The following is an 18,600-nucleotide window of genomic DNA, read 5'->3' as shown; positions in this document are numbered from 1 at the left end:
AGCTCTCCACATTTTGTTGCTATTGAGTTTTTTTTTTTTTTTTTTTTTTTTGAGACGGGGTCTCGCTCTGTCGCCCAGGCTGGAGTGCAGTGGCGCGATCTCAGCTCACTGGCTATTGAGTTTTAATCCAGTATCTTTGTTCTTATGGTTTATGTCTTTAAAAATCTCTTTAATTTTCATGAGGTTTGGAAAGCAATTGGTGGCAAATATTAATACTAAGTTTTTTCTACCTTTAACCAGAAGTTTCCATCAGATTTTTCCTTTATTTTACTTGTGTAGGAATACTGGAGTCAGAACAGATAAAAGAAATAATAAGTGAAGAGGATTTAGAATAGACAGGTAATGACAACAGATGTTTTCAAAGGAAGATTTAGTAGAATATGTTGACTGACTTGGATGGGATAAAGAAAAGAGTCAAGGGTGTTGCCAGGATGTTAAGTTGGTTGACTAGAATAATGATGGTGCCACTGCCAAAAAATAATAGACTAGGATTGGGAATCAGGTTTGATAAAAGATAACCCCAAAGATCATGTGTGTATTATTTTTCAAAGTAAATACTGATTCACATAAGGTGCAGATTTTTCTTCTGCTAATTTAATTTGTGTTCTATTAACATTCAGCTACAACAACCAAACCTGCTCTGGCTAGTTTAAGCAAGAAACGATTTTAATATGGGGAATTAGTAACTACACAATTTTTAGAGGTACTACAGAAGAAGACTCTATGTTGGGTGTCCAGGAGTAACTTTCAGAATAAGACTGTTGAAATGCCATGTCGAGAGAACTGCTTCCTCTCCTGTAATCATAAATATGTGTTATCAAGAGGCAATCACAGGAACCCGAGTTCAGGAACCCACTGCTGTAGGTGTGGTCCAGTGATCAGGATATTGCTGCTGCCACAAGTGTGTCTCAAACTCATAAAAGGCCAGACATACGAATGCTTCTGTAGACACAGCATCTTCATAACCTACTGGTCCTTTGTTGCTCCTTGCTTCATAGGAGCAGCAGCGAAAATAGCAGCAAAGCTATCCTTTTTAACATTTACCTTCCAAATCTTTTGCAAGTGTATATCATTAATAGAACTTAATTACACATTCAACACTCTAGCTGCAAGGGAGTCTTGGAAAAGTCATTTTTAGCTTCCCAGCCTCTAAAGTAGAGGGAGGTATGATGAAAGGATGTTGGAATGAATGCTGAGTGTGAATGCATAATATAAAGCAGAATCATACTCTTTTTTTACTTAGTGTACATAAATATTACCAAACAATAAAAAAAGAAACAACACAGTCCCACATTAATGCAATATATCCATTGTACAAGTGAATAAGTGCTTAACTTCTCCCCTAAAGAGAGACCCATGTGCCATTAATTGTGAGTCCATCTCAGCAATGTTTATTTCTTTTTTGGTTCAATCAGATGCTTACCTTGGTATTCTATAAACTAAGGACTAAATGAGAAATTTATTGTACATGCAATATAAAAAATAAGTGTGGAAAGGGAAATTTTAAATAGGTTAATATTCATAAATATAAAAAAAAGAGAGAGAGGAAGAAAAGTTAACTAATGAAGTCTATTACTGCAACCAGTTACTGAACCGTAATTGATAGCTAGAACTTCCTTCCTCTGCTATGCTTTAAATAGTCAATCTTCTCTCAACTAGTACTTCAGCTAGTTAGTTTCTTGAATGAATAAAGAGTCACTCACTGCTTCATGCTTGAGGGGATTCTTGGTCATCCTTCCAGTATGCTTCAGGCTTCTAATCAATTTTACTATTAGGCATAAAAGTGTTGGGGTATCCCTAAATAATCCCTTGCGTATAGACACAAGCTTGTCCCATTGTCTATCTTATTTCCTCTTGTTGATTAAGATAAAACTCTTCAGTCAATATAGTAACCTATTTTTTTTTGCCTGTTGTTTCAGTGAGAAGAGGAAATGAGAATGACAGTCTCAACATCCAGTTCATATTTATATCCTTCCCATGATAGAAGCATTCTTCCTTTAGTAATGAATACCTCTAAATCATAAGAGCCCAAAGTTGTAGTGATGAAAAGCAAAACTCTTGCAAGTGATTCATTAGATAGAATAGTGTGAGGAACCACACACCTACTTCTACCAGTTGGTTCCCAAATTCACGCATTCTGAGTATGGGAAAAATGACATCATATGTAGTCACAGGTTTAGAGCATATTCCATATCATATAGACATCACATAGGCCAGTGCCAAGTTTGCAAGTAGTCATTCTCCAGCTGGTACCACAATTAAGTCTTCAGGAGGCCAATTACACAATTCTTTAAGTACAGCTGCTTCCAGATGATGGGGTATGTAAAAAGACCAATGAATCCCGTAAGTGTCGATCCACTGCCTTACTGTCTTTCTGTATGTTCTGTATAATGACTTTTTGTTATAATGAAAGGATATAGGCATAAAAAATAGTACGTAAAATAAGACCATGGATGCTGAACTTGTATATGCAGATCAGGCAGGGCAGAAAAATTATTTTTGTTCTCTTCCAGTAAGGAATAACTTCTAGCCTTTCTTTGGGGTATAGATCCAATGTTATTAATTAGCAGGGACTGGTGTCATGTTGGAGGCTTAGGATTGATTTCTGCTGTTGGAAGACAAGGTGTCTATTCATTTCCAGGACAGCTTTGGGGAAGGTAAATCATTATGGTTGCGTGTGTATGTACATCAAGCCCTGCTACTGTAGCCAGCAGTTCATGGATACTTTGAACAAGCCCTCAAGCAGTTATGGGACAAAGCTGATTGGGAAAAAATTTTGATAAAATGCTTACCAAAGAGTATCTGCTCCTCTGCAGTGGATGTCCCTGGATGACAATTCATAAAACATACAAATATTCTCAATTCTGGGGCAATGCTAAGAAGCATATCCTATCTTTTTCTGAGATTCCTTTATTCTTTCATTCAATAATTTTTTTTATTTTTATTTTTGTGGGTACAAAGTAGAAGTGTATATTTGTGGGTTGCATGAGATATTTTGATTTGGGCATGTAATGTGTAATAATCACATCAGGATCAATGGAGGTATCCATCACCTCAAGCATTTATCTTTTGTGTTACAAACAATCCAATTATACTCTTTCAGTTATTTTAAAATGTACAATTAATTAGTTTTGACTATAGTCATCTCATTGTGCTAGCCAATAGTAGGTCTTATTCATTCTTTCTATCAACAAATGTTTTCGAGAGTATGTGCTATGCTAAGCATTGTTAGCACATGGGATACAGTAGGGGGCAAAATCTTGGCATTATGGTATCATCAGTGCTCCAGTCTGTTCCTTCTAGTCCTTGATCATCTGTTAGCTACTGACCAAAAATCAATATCCATCCCCACCTCTAGTCATATCTCCTTCCAGGTAAACTGAAAAAGCTGGTATGCCACTCAAATTTCTGTCCACTAGAAGATTCCCCTTTTGCAGGCCTCAGTAGAGCTTTTAGTGCTGCTGTGTACATAACCTCCTTGTGCAGAAATGAGCTAATTAGTCCAGTGGCTAACAGCCCAGTGCTGATTTGAGCACAAGGTGGAGGCTCCGGTTCCTTAAGGGGGCAGTATCACATATTTTTGTCACTTAATACAAAGGGAATCATGAAAGAATGTTCGAGTGAATTAGCACAAAATCATCAATGCTCACAAACACATGCAACCAATGGTCATTTTATACTGATGTTAGGTTTATTACTTCAATTTTACATATGAAGTGATTTGATGGAAAGAGCAATAAACTGAGTCAGATGCCTTAACTCATGGTCTTTACTTCACCAGTGATTTGCTAAGAAACTTGCTTAACACTGATCCTTTGTTTCTTCTACAAAATAAAGATTGTAACATTTGACCTATTTCTTAGGATCATAGTGAAGTTAAGTTATGAAAATGCTATAAAGTATGTTATGTAACATGTAAAAAATACGTATGTACAACTTATAGCAAAGATGATTGTCAAAATGTTGTTGCCTAAATATCTAATAGTGGGAGAAAATTAAATAAATATAAATAGATAATTATGTTTTCAGGGAATATTTAATAACGGGAAATTTCTATTAAGCAATGTTATATGAAAATCTATCCAGTAAAATTGAATTATGAGCCAAAGTATAAACAGAAGAAAAGTTACAAAATTTTAACCATATTAACAATTGTTTACAATTTTTTAAACTATTTCAAACCACAATATTTAAAACTATTTTAACAATAGCTTTTGAAGAACCATTGGGTAGAAGAATTATGGGTGAACTTTGTTTTCTTCTTATTTTCCATATATATATAGATAGATAGATACAATTTGCAAGTTGAATGTTATAGTCAGAGAAAAGTCATTTAAGATAAGATTTCAGTGCAATTTGTCCCTTTGGTAGAAGTAACAGAGTTATGAATATAGTGTCAAAGGCATACTTATACTTCACCAAAATTTGAGAAAAACTGCACATTGAGCTTATTTTTCCTCTATGTTTAGAGAGTAGATTCTCTTAATGATTAATTGCAGTGGATAGAAAGGAACAATACAACCAAGACTTCTCCCCCTATTTTCATTCTCTAGAGCTGGGTCTTTAAAGTTGCCAAGCAATAACTCTAAGAGATCAGTATTACCATATTCTTCATTTTCTGGATGAGAAAATTGAGGCACAGAGGTTCAATAACTCATCCAGATTTAAATCAAGATCACAAAGCTAGTAAGTTATATAGATGGAATTTGAATCCATGTGGCTGTATAGTCTAAGATTTTCATTGTTGTGTTGTAGGGCATGTTGCCTCTCTTCCTATCTTCAACACCCATTTCTTGAGTATTTCTTAGCTCTAGTAAATCTTAAGTAAGTCCCTGTGCTTAAATGAGTTTTGTTAATATAACCAGATAAACATAAGCAGATATGTCAAAACGCATCAGGATAAGTTAATGCAGGTATGAATGGAGTCATGGAGGAGTTAAGAGGAAGATGCTAGTTCTCTTGGGGACAAAGGGGAGGCATTAGGTAAGGCTACACAGAGGATGTGACATTTGATCTGGGTATTGAAGAAAGAGAAGCAGCTGGCTAGGCAGAAAAGGTGGACAGGGCAAAGTGCTCTACTAACACCTCAATGAAATGGCCTGTGTGTTATCTTTATATTCTCCATATTGGGCAAGGTGGCTATTACATGGTGAGTGAGCACTCAGATAACTCACATTTGTAGGAAAGACAAGACTAGAGATGGAAATCTAGGCCTAAAAAGTTTTCTGGGAGTGGAGCAGGATGATCTTACGTATTTCTTTCTGTGGCCGAGAGATGCTGATGTTGATCTATGGGCTGTGTATCCTCCCTGGATCATCTTATTCCTATAAGGCCAACAGAACATGCTGTGCCAGTTTGTAAAATCTCTCAAATGCTCTGGACTTGTAATTTTGAATTAAAGTGAAGCCTTTATTTACTCTTGGAAAAATATAATTTCCCATTTAGTCTTTTTCAAAGAAGTGAGATCACAGCTTTACAAAAACAAATTTTATCAGACATAAAAAAATAGTAAGTGAAGCACAACTCTGATGAACGAAGAAAAAAACCCCAAAGGATGTAGAGTATAATTTGTTAAACTAAAAATTAACTTAACACACTGAGGCAAGGCATTTGTCACAATTTACTTGAGGTTTTATTGAATCCATGTTTAAAATTGAAACCTTCATCAGAGTCAACACTCAGGATGGATATGTCTGTCCCAGATATTCATTGTAGCCAATGAAAGCGGGAATTACTTTCTATGCTTACTGATTACATGCTTAGAATGTGAGAGACTGCATTTACAATAACTAAAGGAAGACATAGAGATATGTTTGTTGGATATACCAAGGTTTATGAAAATCAAAAATACCATTTATGGTTTCTACACTTATATTATGTTGTCAACAGAAATATGTGAACTTGCAAATCACACATCTAAACTTGATTTTTAGTGATTCATATCTTTATATGTTAATAGCATAGTAATGCTATGGACTTAGTCCAAAAAATCAAGTGTTTCATTATGTTTTACTCTCACTACCCTGGGAAAAAGTCAGCTTACGTTAATGAGGTTTTGGAAACAAGATTATAACAGTACCTTAGAAACTATTCTCAAAGTACTGGCTAAACAACTGAGATCTTGTCTGGAGAGCATATTATAAAATTATTAAAGTGATTGCTGTAAATCATTGGGGACTGTCATAAACAATGTGGTGTATTGGGATGTTGGAACAGGGCTGAAAGCAAAAAAAAGTATCAAGGTTTCTAAGGAAGCACTGAGGTAGTACTGGCTTCAAGTGAAAGGATTAGAGGATTGGAAGAGGCCCTTGTAAAGGACTGTGATACAGTTGTGGAAACTTGCCCTAAGGAAATAGTTCAAAAGAGAGTAAAAGAAAAAATAAACTATTTTAATGTAAATGTTTCTTGTAACTTTATTTATATTAGCAAAAATATACTTTTTACTGATTGAATCTTGAGCCAGTTCATAACTCACAGCCTGCTCTATCTGACCTCAGAGTGTCCCCTGCACACCTGACACCTCAGCTAATGATGTCTAAGACTGAATAATGAATCATTAGTGAACTTGCCCCTCCCCTCTGCCACCTAAATTATTCTGTATGCATTTCTTATTCTAGGACAATGGGCTCACCATTCCCCTTGAACTTCTGTTTGAATTCCTGGAATCATGATTGATGTCATCAGTCACTTATCAGATACATTCATTGGTCTGTCTTCACAATGTTGACTCTTTTCAATTCATCCCAGTGGTGCTCTAGTTTATTTCCTCCCCACCTTTTTTCATTCTTTTATAATAGCCTAGTAACTTGCCTTCCTGCCTTCAGGATCCCTGCCGCTTACCACTTCTCCAACCTCAACTTCAACTATTCTTGACATGTTGCCACAAGTTCTTAAATTCCATCAGTATACTGATATTAAATTTGATGTCCCTGCAAGTATCATTGAGACACTGGAACAAACATCCCAGTGCGTTCTCTCATCTGCTATTCCTCCACCTAGACCTCATCTACCTTTTCTATTCTATGCCTCCATGTGTCCAGACCCTGGACCCTTGAATGCATCTGATACTGCAGCCTCATCTGCACAGCATTTCCTTAAAGGCCCATCGTTTTCTTTTTCCTATTTTCCCTTTTTTTATACAACCCTGTCAACTGTTTTCTTTCATATGTGCTAGTATTATGACAATTAATTTTGGTCTAAACCATGGCTGGTTAACTGTTCATATATCTTTGTCTTCCTTAGTAGATTGTATGCTCATTGAAGGCATGGATCTTAACATTTCTCATCTATAACTTTATGCTTACCCTTCACCCAAAGAAAAATAGGAATTTTCTGCTTATAATAGATCTGAAAGCATATTTGTTGCATTGTCAAACACAATATTTTATTAATATCTAGTTTCAGATAATTATAACTTTATATAACCTATGTAAACTAAAAGATTAATTATTCACATATATAATTAAATGAGTTAGTTGGGAGTGATGGGAGAGTGTCAGCATTTATTATGAACAAGCTATGTGCCCATCACTGATGTAGTGCTGATCTGTTGAATGGATTCAGCCAGTCATTCAAATGTTTGCATTGTGAGTTTACTATATCCTAGGCTCTGCATCAAGAGCTAGGGATAGAAAAATAAATCAGATATAGCTCTACCCTCAGTAATCTGACAGTGTGGTTACAGGGAAGGAAACTAAAAGTACCAATCTTAGTATTGTACAATAAGTAATATAGCAGAGGAAAGCAGAGGATACATGGGACACACAGGAGTGATTGAGCATGAAGGGAAAGTTTGCTCAGGGCAGACTGTTTATTCTAGGTAGGGCCAATGGAGAGAGCATCAAAACAAGATGTTGGCATTTGGGTTTTATAAGAAGTTATATAGTTCCACGAAAGACAGAGAGAGAGAGAGAGAGAGAGAGTGTGTGTGTGTGTGTGTGTGTGTGTGTGTGTGTATGTGTTGGTGGAAGTTGATGGAGTTTAGTGATGAAAGAGGCCTGAAAGAAACTAGGACTGAGCAATGGAGTTATTGATCTAAGAGTATGAATTTTGTTTAGAAGAAAATGGGAAGTCACTGAAGGTTTTAAGTGAGGAAATGACATAACTAGAATATTGAGAAAGTACATTCTATGGCCTTTGCATATATTATCTCATTTAATCCTCTTCTTACCAGATAGATGACATTTATCCCTGTTACAAAAGAGGAAAGTAAGCCATCTTTTCTTCCATTCCTTTCAGGGCTATCTATCTGTCATCATTTGACATTGATGTCTCATCATTGACATTCCATGTCACCTCCTCAAAGACAGTTTCTCTGACAAGTTAATCTAAGTATGTTTTTTCCTATGGAGTAAAAAAGAACAAGGAGTACTGAAACAAAAGAGGGGATGGGATTTTAAATAAGTTGGCCAGGATAGACCTCATTGAGAAGCTGATATTTGGGAAAATGTTAAAGATGGCAAGAGAATTCATCATAAAGATATCTTGGAGAAGAGCATTCTAGATAGTGGTATCAGCTTGTGCAAAGGCCCTGAGGCAGGATTATGTCTGGCTTATTTGAGGCACAATGAAAAGAATGGAGCTGGAGTATATTCTATCTGCTAGTAACAGAATCCCTATAGAGAACAGGCTTGCACTGAATATTTTTTGAATGAACAGATGAATAAGTACAGGTCACATACCAGGTTCTCAACTGGTTTGCTCAATCCCATACCCTTTCCTGTATGTTACTCTGACTCTTGATAATTAATTCCTAGATGAGTGAGATCATTTAAACAGAATTGGCATAGAATCTCTATGAATGGGCATCCATTAAGGATTCTGTACAAAACCATTGATCGTTTATGTGTAGATACGTGTGCCATCTCTGCAGACAAATACCCTTTCGTGTGCCTTTACAAGAAGCAACAGTGACACACAGTGGTTGATTGAGTGAATCAGACATGGTTCTCCCTCCAGATATCCCAGGAGGTACCCCAGATATTTCTTTCTTTGGAAAGTTGGTTGTCTTGTTAATTCAGACAGGTATTAACTACCCAATATATTCAGCATATCTCTCATTGTAAGCTGTCAGGCTGTGATACAACATCACATAATGTGACGTTACATGATACATAATGCCTTGAAAAAAAAAAACAAAAAACACCCAGACACTTCTTTCAGTGAAGTAGTAGGTAGGTAATCTGAATATTTGGGGTAATTGGCTCTAGGAAGAGAGAGGCGTCATTATCCCAGGCTCCCCAGTGAGCGTTAATTAACCATATTGCTTCATTGTGTGACAAAGAGAACACTGCTGGTAGTGCTAAATCTGTAATGACACCTTGGCTTTAGGAGCACAGGTATTTTAAACTACCTTGATGGACTGACATGTAGGTAATTCTATTCAGAGCCTAACAGTGAACTCAGAGGGTTGGAACTCCTCTGAGATGCAAGAGTCTGTTGTTGTGATGACTCTGAGATGTTTCCTTTCCTTTGTCCTACCCGCTCCTCGCCAACCCCAATAGTCCCTCAACTGGGGAAAGTCATCAGTATTCATGACATCAGGCCTGTGTTCTATCTGGGCTTTAAGAACAATATATTTATGTTTTTGAAGCATCAAGTTCTGCAGACAGAGATTCAGCAGCTCTTAACATTTAAGGATGGGCCATGACAGTTAGGAAGAGCTTTCTGGGGCCCTGCACGCCCCTTTAATCCTTTGTTTGCAGTTATGATAGGAAGCCTACTTGTAGAGCAGAAACATTCTTAAAGGCTGAGTTTTGTGGGACCAACATCCAACAACATTTTCATTATTTATTTTAATAATAATAATACCAAAAATAGTAGGCTGGGTGGCAATGGATAAAACACTAGCACAGTGGTACTGTTCTCTTACCTTGGGAAAGAGATAAATTGTCCTGCACATTAGAAGGTGATACTGCTTATGCTCCACATGGAGGAAATGCCTTATGATTTTTCTCTATCTTTATCCCAACTGCGACTTTACATTTTCCCTGACCACCCATGTCCTCTCACCTTGGGTGTTGGTCCTTGGAGACCAAACATGCGTATTTAGAAGACAGATGGCCAAGGCTTAACAGCCTAAAGCCAAGGGTCAGAGAAAGACTGATGGGCCTAAGATTGCCACTGTAGCCTCAGAGAACACTAGGAACTGGAACTAAAGATTCTAAAATCTGTGCTTTCTGACAGAGCTCCTGAGATGCTGATCTAAAAACATCATTTATTTTCAACTGCTGAAAGAGGATGTCTTTAAATGACTTCATTCATCTTTAATTAAATATGAACTTCTTTCTGTGAATCGTAAGGGGCTGTCCATGATCCATGGATTCAGACATTGAACTGAGTATGCAACTGAGACCGGCCTTTTCTGGGCATCGTTATAATGTGGGTGGAGTAAGGGAAGATGAAGAAACTCGAAAGAAAGCAAGAGTTATAGCATCCTATGAAGACAGGAAACTTAAATAACCAACTTCCAGCCTTGAACACATTTTTGGTGGGGGTAGCACTGGCATTTGGCAAGAATCTCTTTCTGTCTCTTTTCCATTTTTGCTCTGCTTAAAGTACTGATGACAATAAGAGTGTTTATATAGTATCTTATGTTTTAATAAATGCATTCTTATATATTAGCTCACTTGCTTCTGATTTTATCAACATAAAATATTTATTGACTCCCCTACTGCATGACAAATCATTTGCTTAATATCTTCCCACTCTTCATCAGGCTAGATTTATTCTTCTCCCCTTTACACTAACACAATTCAATGTTTTCCTGAATCAAAACAACAACAAATACAAAGTGAAGTAAAAAAAAAAAAGTTCTTATCTGCTATTATCTCTTCAATAGCTTATAAATATGAAAGCTCTGACAATATTATTTTGTGGGTGCAGTAAAGAGGATAGGAAAGATAAAAAGAGGTATTAAGAGAGAAGAGAGGGTTCCCATCCAGATGAGAAAGTTTAAGTCCTGGGTTTTATGCTAAGTGAGGGACACTTATAGTGACCTTGCGCTTTCCTCTTCTGGGGCCAGTTTTACAAAACCAACAAGAAATCTAGAATGTGACATAGTTGAAATTTCTAATTACAATTTTTTTAGGTCCCAATGATTGTAATGTTCTGTACATGTGAAAGTTAAGAATTCCACATTTCCATTTAAGAGATAATTATTGGCATGTCGTTACATGGGAATGTTACGCTAATAATACATTTTGATTGGTTGCTACAGGCAGAAGCTCCTGTCATTTATCAGAATTCCTGTTAAGCAGTCATCTTAAAGAAGTAGGTACAAAGGATATTAATTTGACTTTTTATGGAACCTTCTTAAATAGAACCTTGAATTTTCCCAAGTGAATGGGAAGACTTCAAAATCATATCAAACACAAATTTTAGTGGTGACGGCTGTTTTTATTTTATTTTATTTTTGTCAGATTGATCTTATTTTGCATAGTGAAAATAGAAATGAATTACTTATGACTAATGTGCTATTTTAGAGCTTGATGGAAATTTAGAAGCGATCTGGACTTTTTATAGTTGAAGAATCTGAAGCCCAGAAAGACAAAACAAAACTTGCTCAAACCGGTTCCATAACTAGTAGAAACAGTAAGTGAAACTAGTTCTTACTATCAGTCAAATGCTTTTCCTGATATGGCATTTAGCCATTCTCAAATCTTTACAAACTCCTATTGGCCAGACAATCTGCTGGTGGACTAAAACATCTATGATGACTTTCCTTTCCTCCTGCTGGCATCTCCTTGCATAAGGTGTTGGAGTTTCCTAACCCTCATAAACACTGTGGGTGTACCTCTCTGTGAGACACACCCTATCTCCACAGATGGGGTCTTCAGGGTGATTTTTGACCTCCCCAGCCTCTTGGGGTCCTTAATCCTGAGGCTGACTCTTGGCCTGGCTTTACATTTGTGGTCTCTGGCTTTAATCCCTGAAGCTGTGCTAGAAATAAATTTTAAGGGTAAAAAGAGAGAGCAAACTTTGTTAAAATATTTTGCTATAGCATTTACTTAGATTTGAGATTTTTTTTTCTACTTTAAGTTCTAGGGTACATGTGCACAACGTGCAGGTTTGTCACATATGTATACATGTGCCATGATGATATACTGCACCCATTAACTCGTCATTTACATTAGGTATATCTCCTAATGCTATCCCTCCCCCCTCTCCACTCCCCCCACCCCCACACATGCACACATATGTTTATTGCGGCATTATTCACAATAGCAAAGAATTGGAACCAAGCCAAATGCCCATCAATGATAGATTTGAGATTTTTATTGGGAATTAATATTTTAAATTAGGATGGAGAATAGTAAAACTGGAAAGAGAGGATAAATGGAAAAGATGGAGGAAACAGAACTAGATAATTGGAAATCCCATGTTGACAGATCTCAAATAATGTGGATTGATCAGATAAAACAATTATATCAAAGGCCAGAAAACTTACCTTATATTGCACTCAGCAATTTATAAACTTCTTTCACATTTACTGTTATTTGATCCTCACAACAGCTCTGTAGGACAGCAATAATTATAAATAGTTATAATTTATCAATAAGAAAACTACAATTCAAATATGTTTAATGGCTTGCCCACATTCACATAGCTTGTAAGTGGCAGAGACAGAACCCAAACCACAAGTCTTCTGGCTGCAGATCACATATTCTTCTAAGTATACCACTATACTTGACTGCAAAAGACTCAGATGCATTAGGGGACTCAGCTGGATGTAACTTTGTGGCCCTTACGGCAGAAGTCATAGGTTTGGTTCCTGTGCATGCTGGTAGCTATTATAGCTGAACAGAAAACTCCTATTTTCATGGAGAACAAGGTATCCGTGTATATGATGTGAACTGATTACCTTTACTAAAAAAAATGGAGGCTGCCATCTAACTGGTAGAAAACTAAACCGTCTTTGTACATGAAGAATAGTAAATGTTTATTATCATCTCTTGGGATATTTAGTTGGGATACTGCTTCAAGATTTGGATTTGCAAAACCAGCACTCTAGTCCAGGGTTTCCCAATTCCCAGGCTGCAGACTGGTGCCAGTCTGTGGCCTGTTAGGAACCCGGCTGCACAGCAGGAGGTGAGCGGTGGGAGAGCAAGGATTACTGCCTGGCCTCCACCTCCTGTCAGATCAGCACAAACCCTGTTGTGAACTGCACATGCAAGGGATCTAGGTTGAGCATTCCTTATGAGAATCTAAAGCCTGCTGATTTAAGATGAAACAGTTTCATCCCCAAACTATTCCTGCCTCCCCCCATGGAAAAATTGCCTTCCAAGAAACTGGTCCCTGGTGACAAAGTTTGAATTTATGTCCCTGCTACCAGGTAAATGCTTTAAGATATGGTTGCGGATATCATGGAAAGTATGAAGATGTACATACTCCAGAATCATATAATTTTTAATTTTTTTCCATGGACATTAGTAGCTATTATCAGCTAAAGGTCCTGTGAGAATCTGGTACAAGAAAAAAAATTCCTTCTTGACATGAATAATTTTAGGCCTCATGTATGTAGCAAGGTCATCAGGTTGAACTCCCTGGGTAGAAACACTAGCAACACTGTGATCTTCAAAAAAAAAAAACATTTTTCTCTAGAATAGTGCCCTGGAATCTTTAGACTTGATTAGTTTATTTCAAGGAAGGATTTGAGGGGAAAAAATATCTCATTTGCCTGGCAGCGTATCATTCCTGGGGGAACACATGTTTACATTTGCTGAATTAGACAACTCCACAGCAGTTATTGGAGAGCTAAAGATATATTAATATTGAAATGTAGGCAACCACATGTTGATAATGAGCCCATTTTGTGTCTTGGCTTGTGGAAAAGAATGTGAAAATGCCTTATTCTGTATTATTTTTTCCTTCTGACAGTACTGATACACTGCCGCAGGCAGTCTAAAAATAATAGCATGAGGTTAACTGACAATTGCAGGTATATTTACACTGCTATTCTGATATTAGCATGCTGCTTAAAAAATACCACTGGAGGTAATACAGTATGTATTCAAATAATTTTTTTATTAGAGATAAAAAAACTGATAGAAAAGACAAAGATCATTCTTTTAAATGATCAATAGAAATATCTGTGGTTATTTTAAAATCTGCTGCAAATAAACTAAGATTTTCTCAAAATCTTTGCCCGATGGATTAAGAGCAAGAGCAAGAGATTCCATGAGAATGGTGTCATCAAATGTGCCTCCTTACACACACACACCCACCCCTCTGCATGCGCACCCGCACAGCTGTGTGTGCACACACACACCAAACAGTTTAAGTCGTGATTTGGAAACCCCCTGAATCTCTAAGGAAGCCTCTTGTCTCTGTGGCATTGCGTCTACCTCTGACATCAATATTGATTACTTTTCTGGACCATTATATTGTTTTGTCTTTGGATTTATTTGCTTGTAGGCATCATTCTTTTATTCAAAAATTATTATTGATTAATGTGCTGAATTTTTTCACCATCAAGATCCACTTTCCACCCTCGTGTTCTTCCTGTTGACTGCATTAACGGGCTTGCTGGCCTCTACGTGGATTCAATCAATGAAAGCTACCAGCAGAATATTGGAGTGACTTTGAAGTACGTATTTCCCTGCAATCACCCCCCATAGGGCTCCAGGTCTGTTCCTCTAACAAAGGCTACCGCTCCTCTCAGGAGCCCTTTCCTAAAGCCACAGTTCCCACTAGGTTTCAGGTAAGTCTCCCATTCCCTTCCCATTGGGCAAGATGAGGTAAGGGCTTTCTGCTGTTGCCAGTCCCATATGCCTCATCTCTAGTTTTTTCTCTTAACCTTGAGTAATTATTTTATTGAACCCTCTTCAGTTACCCTGTTTGGGTATTACTTCTGTTTCCCTTGAGGACCCTGAACTGAAAAAGATGCTGTGTACAGGGACTACAATAGCCACTGGATTATAAAAGGTTGTAAAACCCAATATTCTCAAGGAACTGATCATAGACAAGGTAGAGTTACACACAGAGCAGTACAGAAACACTGACAAAGGCTATCTAAATCGAGTTCGGAGTGGTGCTAAGGAACCTTTTTTTTTGGAAGAGATGATGCTTGATGTGAAACCTTTTATTACTGAAAAATTCAAATACCTAAAAATGGAAAGAATATTGTAATAGGCTTCTCAGCTTCTACATAACCATTACTCAGTTTCAGTAATCATTAATTCCATCAGCTCAAGGCCAATTTTATTTATCTTATCCACTTCGCCGTCTCCTCCCCAGATTTATTTTGAATTTTTTTGTGGACAGCATATAATTACATGTGTATCTCCAAAATATAGGTACAGTATCACCATCTTCCAAAAAAATCAATGATTAAAGGCCCTTAATATTATTGAATACTCAGTGCTCAAAATTATCTAATTATATTATAAATGTTGTTTTTCCAGTTTATTTATCTGAATTTGGATCAGCTAAGGTCCACATATTATTATAATTGGCCTTTCCTATTCTATAGGTTCTTTTTCCATGTATAATTTTTCCTTAGAATTTCTTTGTTGGAAAACCCTGGATTATTTAACCTATAGAATTTCCCTCTGTCTGGATTTTCTTGATTGCATAACATGTTTATCTCTATTTTCTATAACTTGATTGTAAGAACTAGAGCTTAATCTGACCCAGGTTCAACTTTGGTTTTGGTGGGAGGCAAGATTACTTCATAGGTTGGCAGTATGTACTTTTGTCAGAAAAAGTATAATTGGTTGCTTCTCATGTTTTTGATGTTAAGAGCCATTGATAATCATTGCCCTAGAGCAATGGTTTTCAAACTTCAGTGTTCATCAACATCACTTGGAAGACTTATTAAACCCCAAACTGCTGGGCTCTACCCCAAATCTTCTGATTCAGCAGGTCTGAGGTAAGACAGAGAACTTACATTCCTTACAACTGCCCAGTTGATGTTAGAGCTCTACTGGCCCAGTGACCAGATTTTTAGAGTTGCTCCAGTTAGCTTATCGATTCATTAAGGACCATCTCAAACATTTCGCATTCCAATCCCAGACCTGCAATCAGCAATTTATGCACGGATCCCTGTTTCTTCATAGTAAGATGTCTAGTTTAGAACCCGTATTCTGAAGACCAAAGACACTAATTTCAGCTGGGATGTACATTGTTTTGAGACATTGTGGATGGTTGAGTTGGGAAATATTTTTCAAAGAAAAACAAATCGTGACTTTGTATTGACAGTTCCAATCAAAATTCAAGACTACAGTTCAAGACTACTTAACCTTATTATGTGTTACAATAGTGTTTCTTTCTTTCACTTGAAAGATCCGTGCTTTCAATAACACCAGCATAATTCTCATTTGTTTATCCCATAGTAATCACACAACAACCTAAGAATAACACTACCAACATGTCCACTAACTATATGCTTTCTCAAAATAGTCTGATCGTAGTGGGTGTTTTTGTTTGCTTGTTCTCTTTTATTCTACTTTTAATCCTTAGGGCATGTCCTCAGAATGTGCAATTAAATTACCATGTTTTAAATTCACTTGAATTAGTTCCTTTCTGTATAGTTATGCCCGCACTGTTTATACAGTTGGGTCATTTTTATACTTTTATTTTTAATTTTTAGAGATTGTATTTTATAAATTAAGCTTGCTTTGAAATTATGAAAAATATTTACAAGGGTCCAAAATTAAATTGTGTTTTATTTATTTATTTATTATTAAAGACAGTATCTTGCTCTGTCACTTAGACTGGAGGGCAGTGGCATGAGGATAGATCACAGCAGTGTTGAACTCCTGGTCTCGAGTGATCCTCCCTCCTTGGCCTCACAAAGCACTGGGATTACAAGGCACGAACCCTTACGACCACCCCAGAATCAAAGTTTTGAAGCAAGTTATAATAAACGAAGCTTAGCTTTCATTTCTGGTTATTTCACTCTAATTCTTCTCTTTCCCCACAAGTAAATTTAAAAGTTTTGAAAATATCTTCTGGCATTTAGGAAGGTTTGCATTTTTTGTTTTAATAATTACTTTTATATTTATTTTAATAAATCCTTTGTAATAGTAATTTCCATTCCTCCCTTTCTGGCTATTGACTATTGTTTCCTACTATGAGCACTAATGCAACCAACTAGTGACCTGTTTCTCTTTCTTTCTTCTCTCGAATCCAGCATTTGTTGATGTAATATCCTTGTAGACCTAATGAATACATATGAAATAATAAATGAGTTTATTGTACTTATCTATATTTGATTCTTGTATTATAGCTACATTATTAGGGCACACAGACATTTTATTGTTATAATCATCAGCCTTGATTCTATAGAAAAAATATATTTAGTGCTACCTCTTGTACTTATGTCAAAGCCTCTTAAGTCATTTTCATTGTATGAAGCTCATTCTCTAATAGATTATTCAGAGAAGGTTTAAGGGAATAATATCCCCTCAATAAACACACACACACACACGCACACACATATGCATGTATATATCTCCAGTCAGTTAGTAGAATATTTCTTAATGTTGGCATTATAGATTTAATTCCCAGCTAAATGGTATACCCTTTCAGTGTTTAGTTTTAAGACTTTTTATTATTGTAAAAGATTTTCCTGAGTTATAGTTTTAATATTTATTCTGTCCATTGCTTTAGTTTTCCTCTTCAGAGACTACTAGTATATTTATGTTGAATCTCTTGCTTTTCTTCTGTATTCATCACTTACTCTCAAATGCTTTTTAGTAGTCTTTCAAAATTCTATTATCTATAAAACTTCCTCTTTTCCATATCCTATTTCTCTTAAGGCATATTTTGTTGTGTTTATTTACTTTTGTGTTTTTTCCTAACTTTAGAGGTAGTTATTTTTTCTTTTATTTCTAATTCTTTCCTGAATTCTTTTACCTCTCTTTTTAAATCCTTTTCTTAATCATCTCACTTCTGAGTTTTTAAATTCTGATATATTAGATTCTGATATATGTTGTTCTTTATAGATTCTAGAATTCTCTTATTTTTAGCTCATTTTGAAACATTAGGTTCTTCATCTGTTTTGTGGGCATAATTTTCTGGTGTGCTTTCCTTATTTGAGAGATTTTTTTTCACTATTTTATTTTTTATACTAATTTTATGTAAGATCCTGTGGCATTCTTTTGCTGCTCTTCATTGTTAAGTAAAATGACTTTTTATGTACTTTTAGAAGAGAAGATAGATCAAAATAGCTACCTCTTAGATCCTCCTCCTCTGCTACTCTTCTCAGTTTTATCTTCACCTTGTTTTTCCTTACTCTTATAGTCCCTGTTCTGCTCTCTGTGGCTTAGAATACCAGCAGTTTCTCCTTAGGGCTAAGCTCTGTAATGTAAGGGTTGATTTGTCTGTCACTTTTGAGAGTTTATAGACCCCAGACCCCAAAACTCTCTGGGACCATCAGATCATTCTTTAGGCCACTTGTATTTGCCCTCATTACTCTCAAAGTGGAACTTTCAAAATCCTCTCCCATTGTCTCCTGTTGTTCTCAGAAAAGCCCACTGTGCTTTCTAGGGGTGCCTGATAGTTGGGAGTTTCCAGCTCTCAGGGTCATCAGCAGTCCCTTTGTCTTTCCTCTGATTTCAGCCATACTGTTTTGATACCATATAGGTCTTGTAGTTT

General features: G+C 36.4%; 1 long non-coding RNA gene across 1 annotated transcript, besides 1 other annotated feature; it reads right to left on the bottom strand.

The window, feature by feature from the left end:
- Nucleotides 9,313-9,607: a silencer, noted in NCBI's record as "tiled region #1314; K562 Repressive non-DNase unmatched - State 24:Quies". NCBI's record gives its function as "represses a minimal TATA promoter and a strong SV40 promoter by Sharpr-MPRA in K562 cells {active_cell/tissue: K562}" and the evidence as "EXISTENCE:reporter gene assay evidence [ECO:0000049][PMID:27701403]".
- On the bottom strand, nucleotides 11,878-18,253 carry LOC105370773 (uncharacterized). Its single transcript, XR_932116.3, has 3 exons — nucleotides 18,178-18,253; nucleotides 12,449-12,515; nucleotides 11,878-11,940 (listed from the first exon to the last, which is right to left on the bottom strand). It is a non-coding gene; the product is annotated as an uncharacterized LOC105370773 (long non-coding RNA).
- Nucleotides 18,254-18,600: the final 347 nt, after the last annotated feature.

Source organism: Homo sapiens, chromosome 15, assembly GCF_000001405.40.
Source record: "Homo sapiens chromosome 15, GRCh38.p14 Primary Assembly".
NCBI lineage: Eukaryota > Metazoa > Chordata > Mammalia > Primates > Hominidae > Homo > Homo sapiens.
This window is presented reverse-complemented; position numbering and strand designations above follow the sequence as displayed.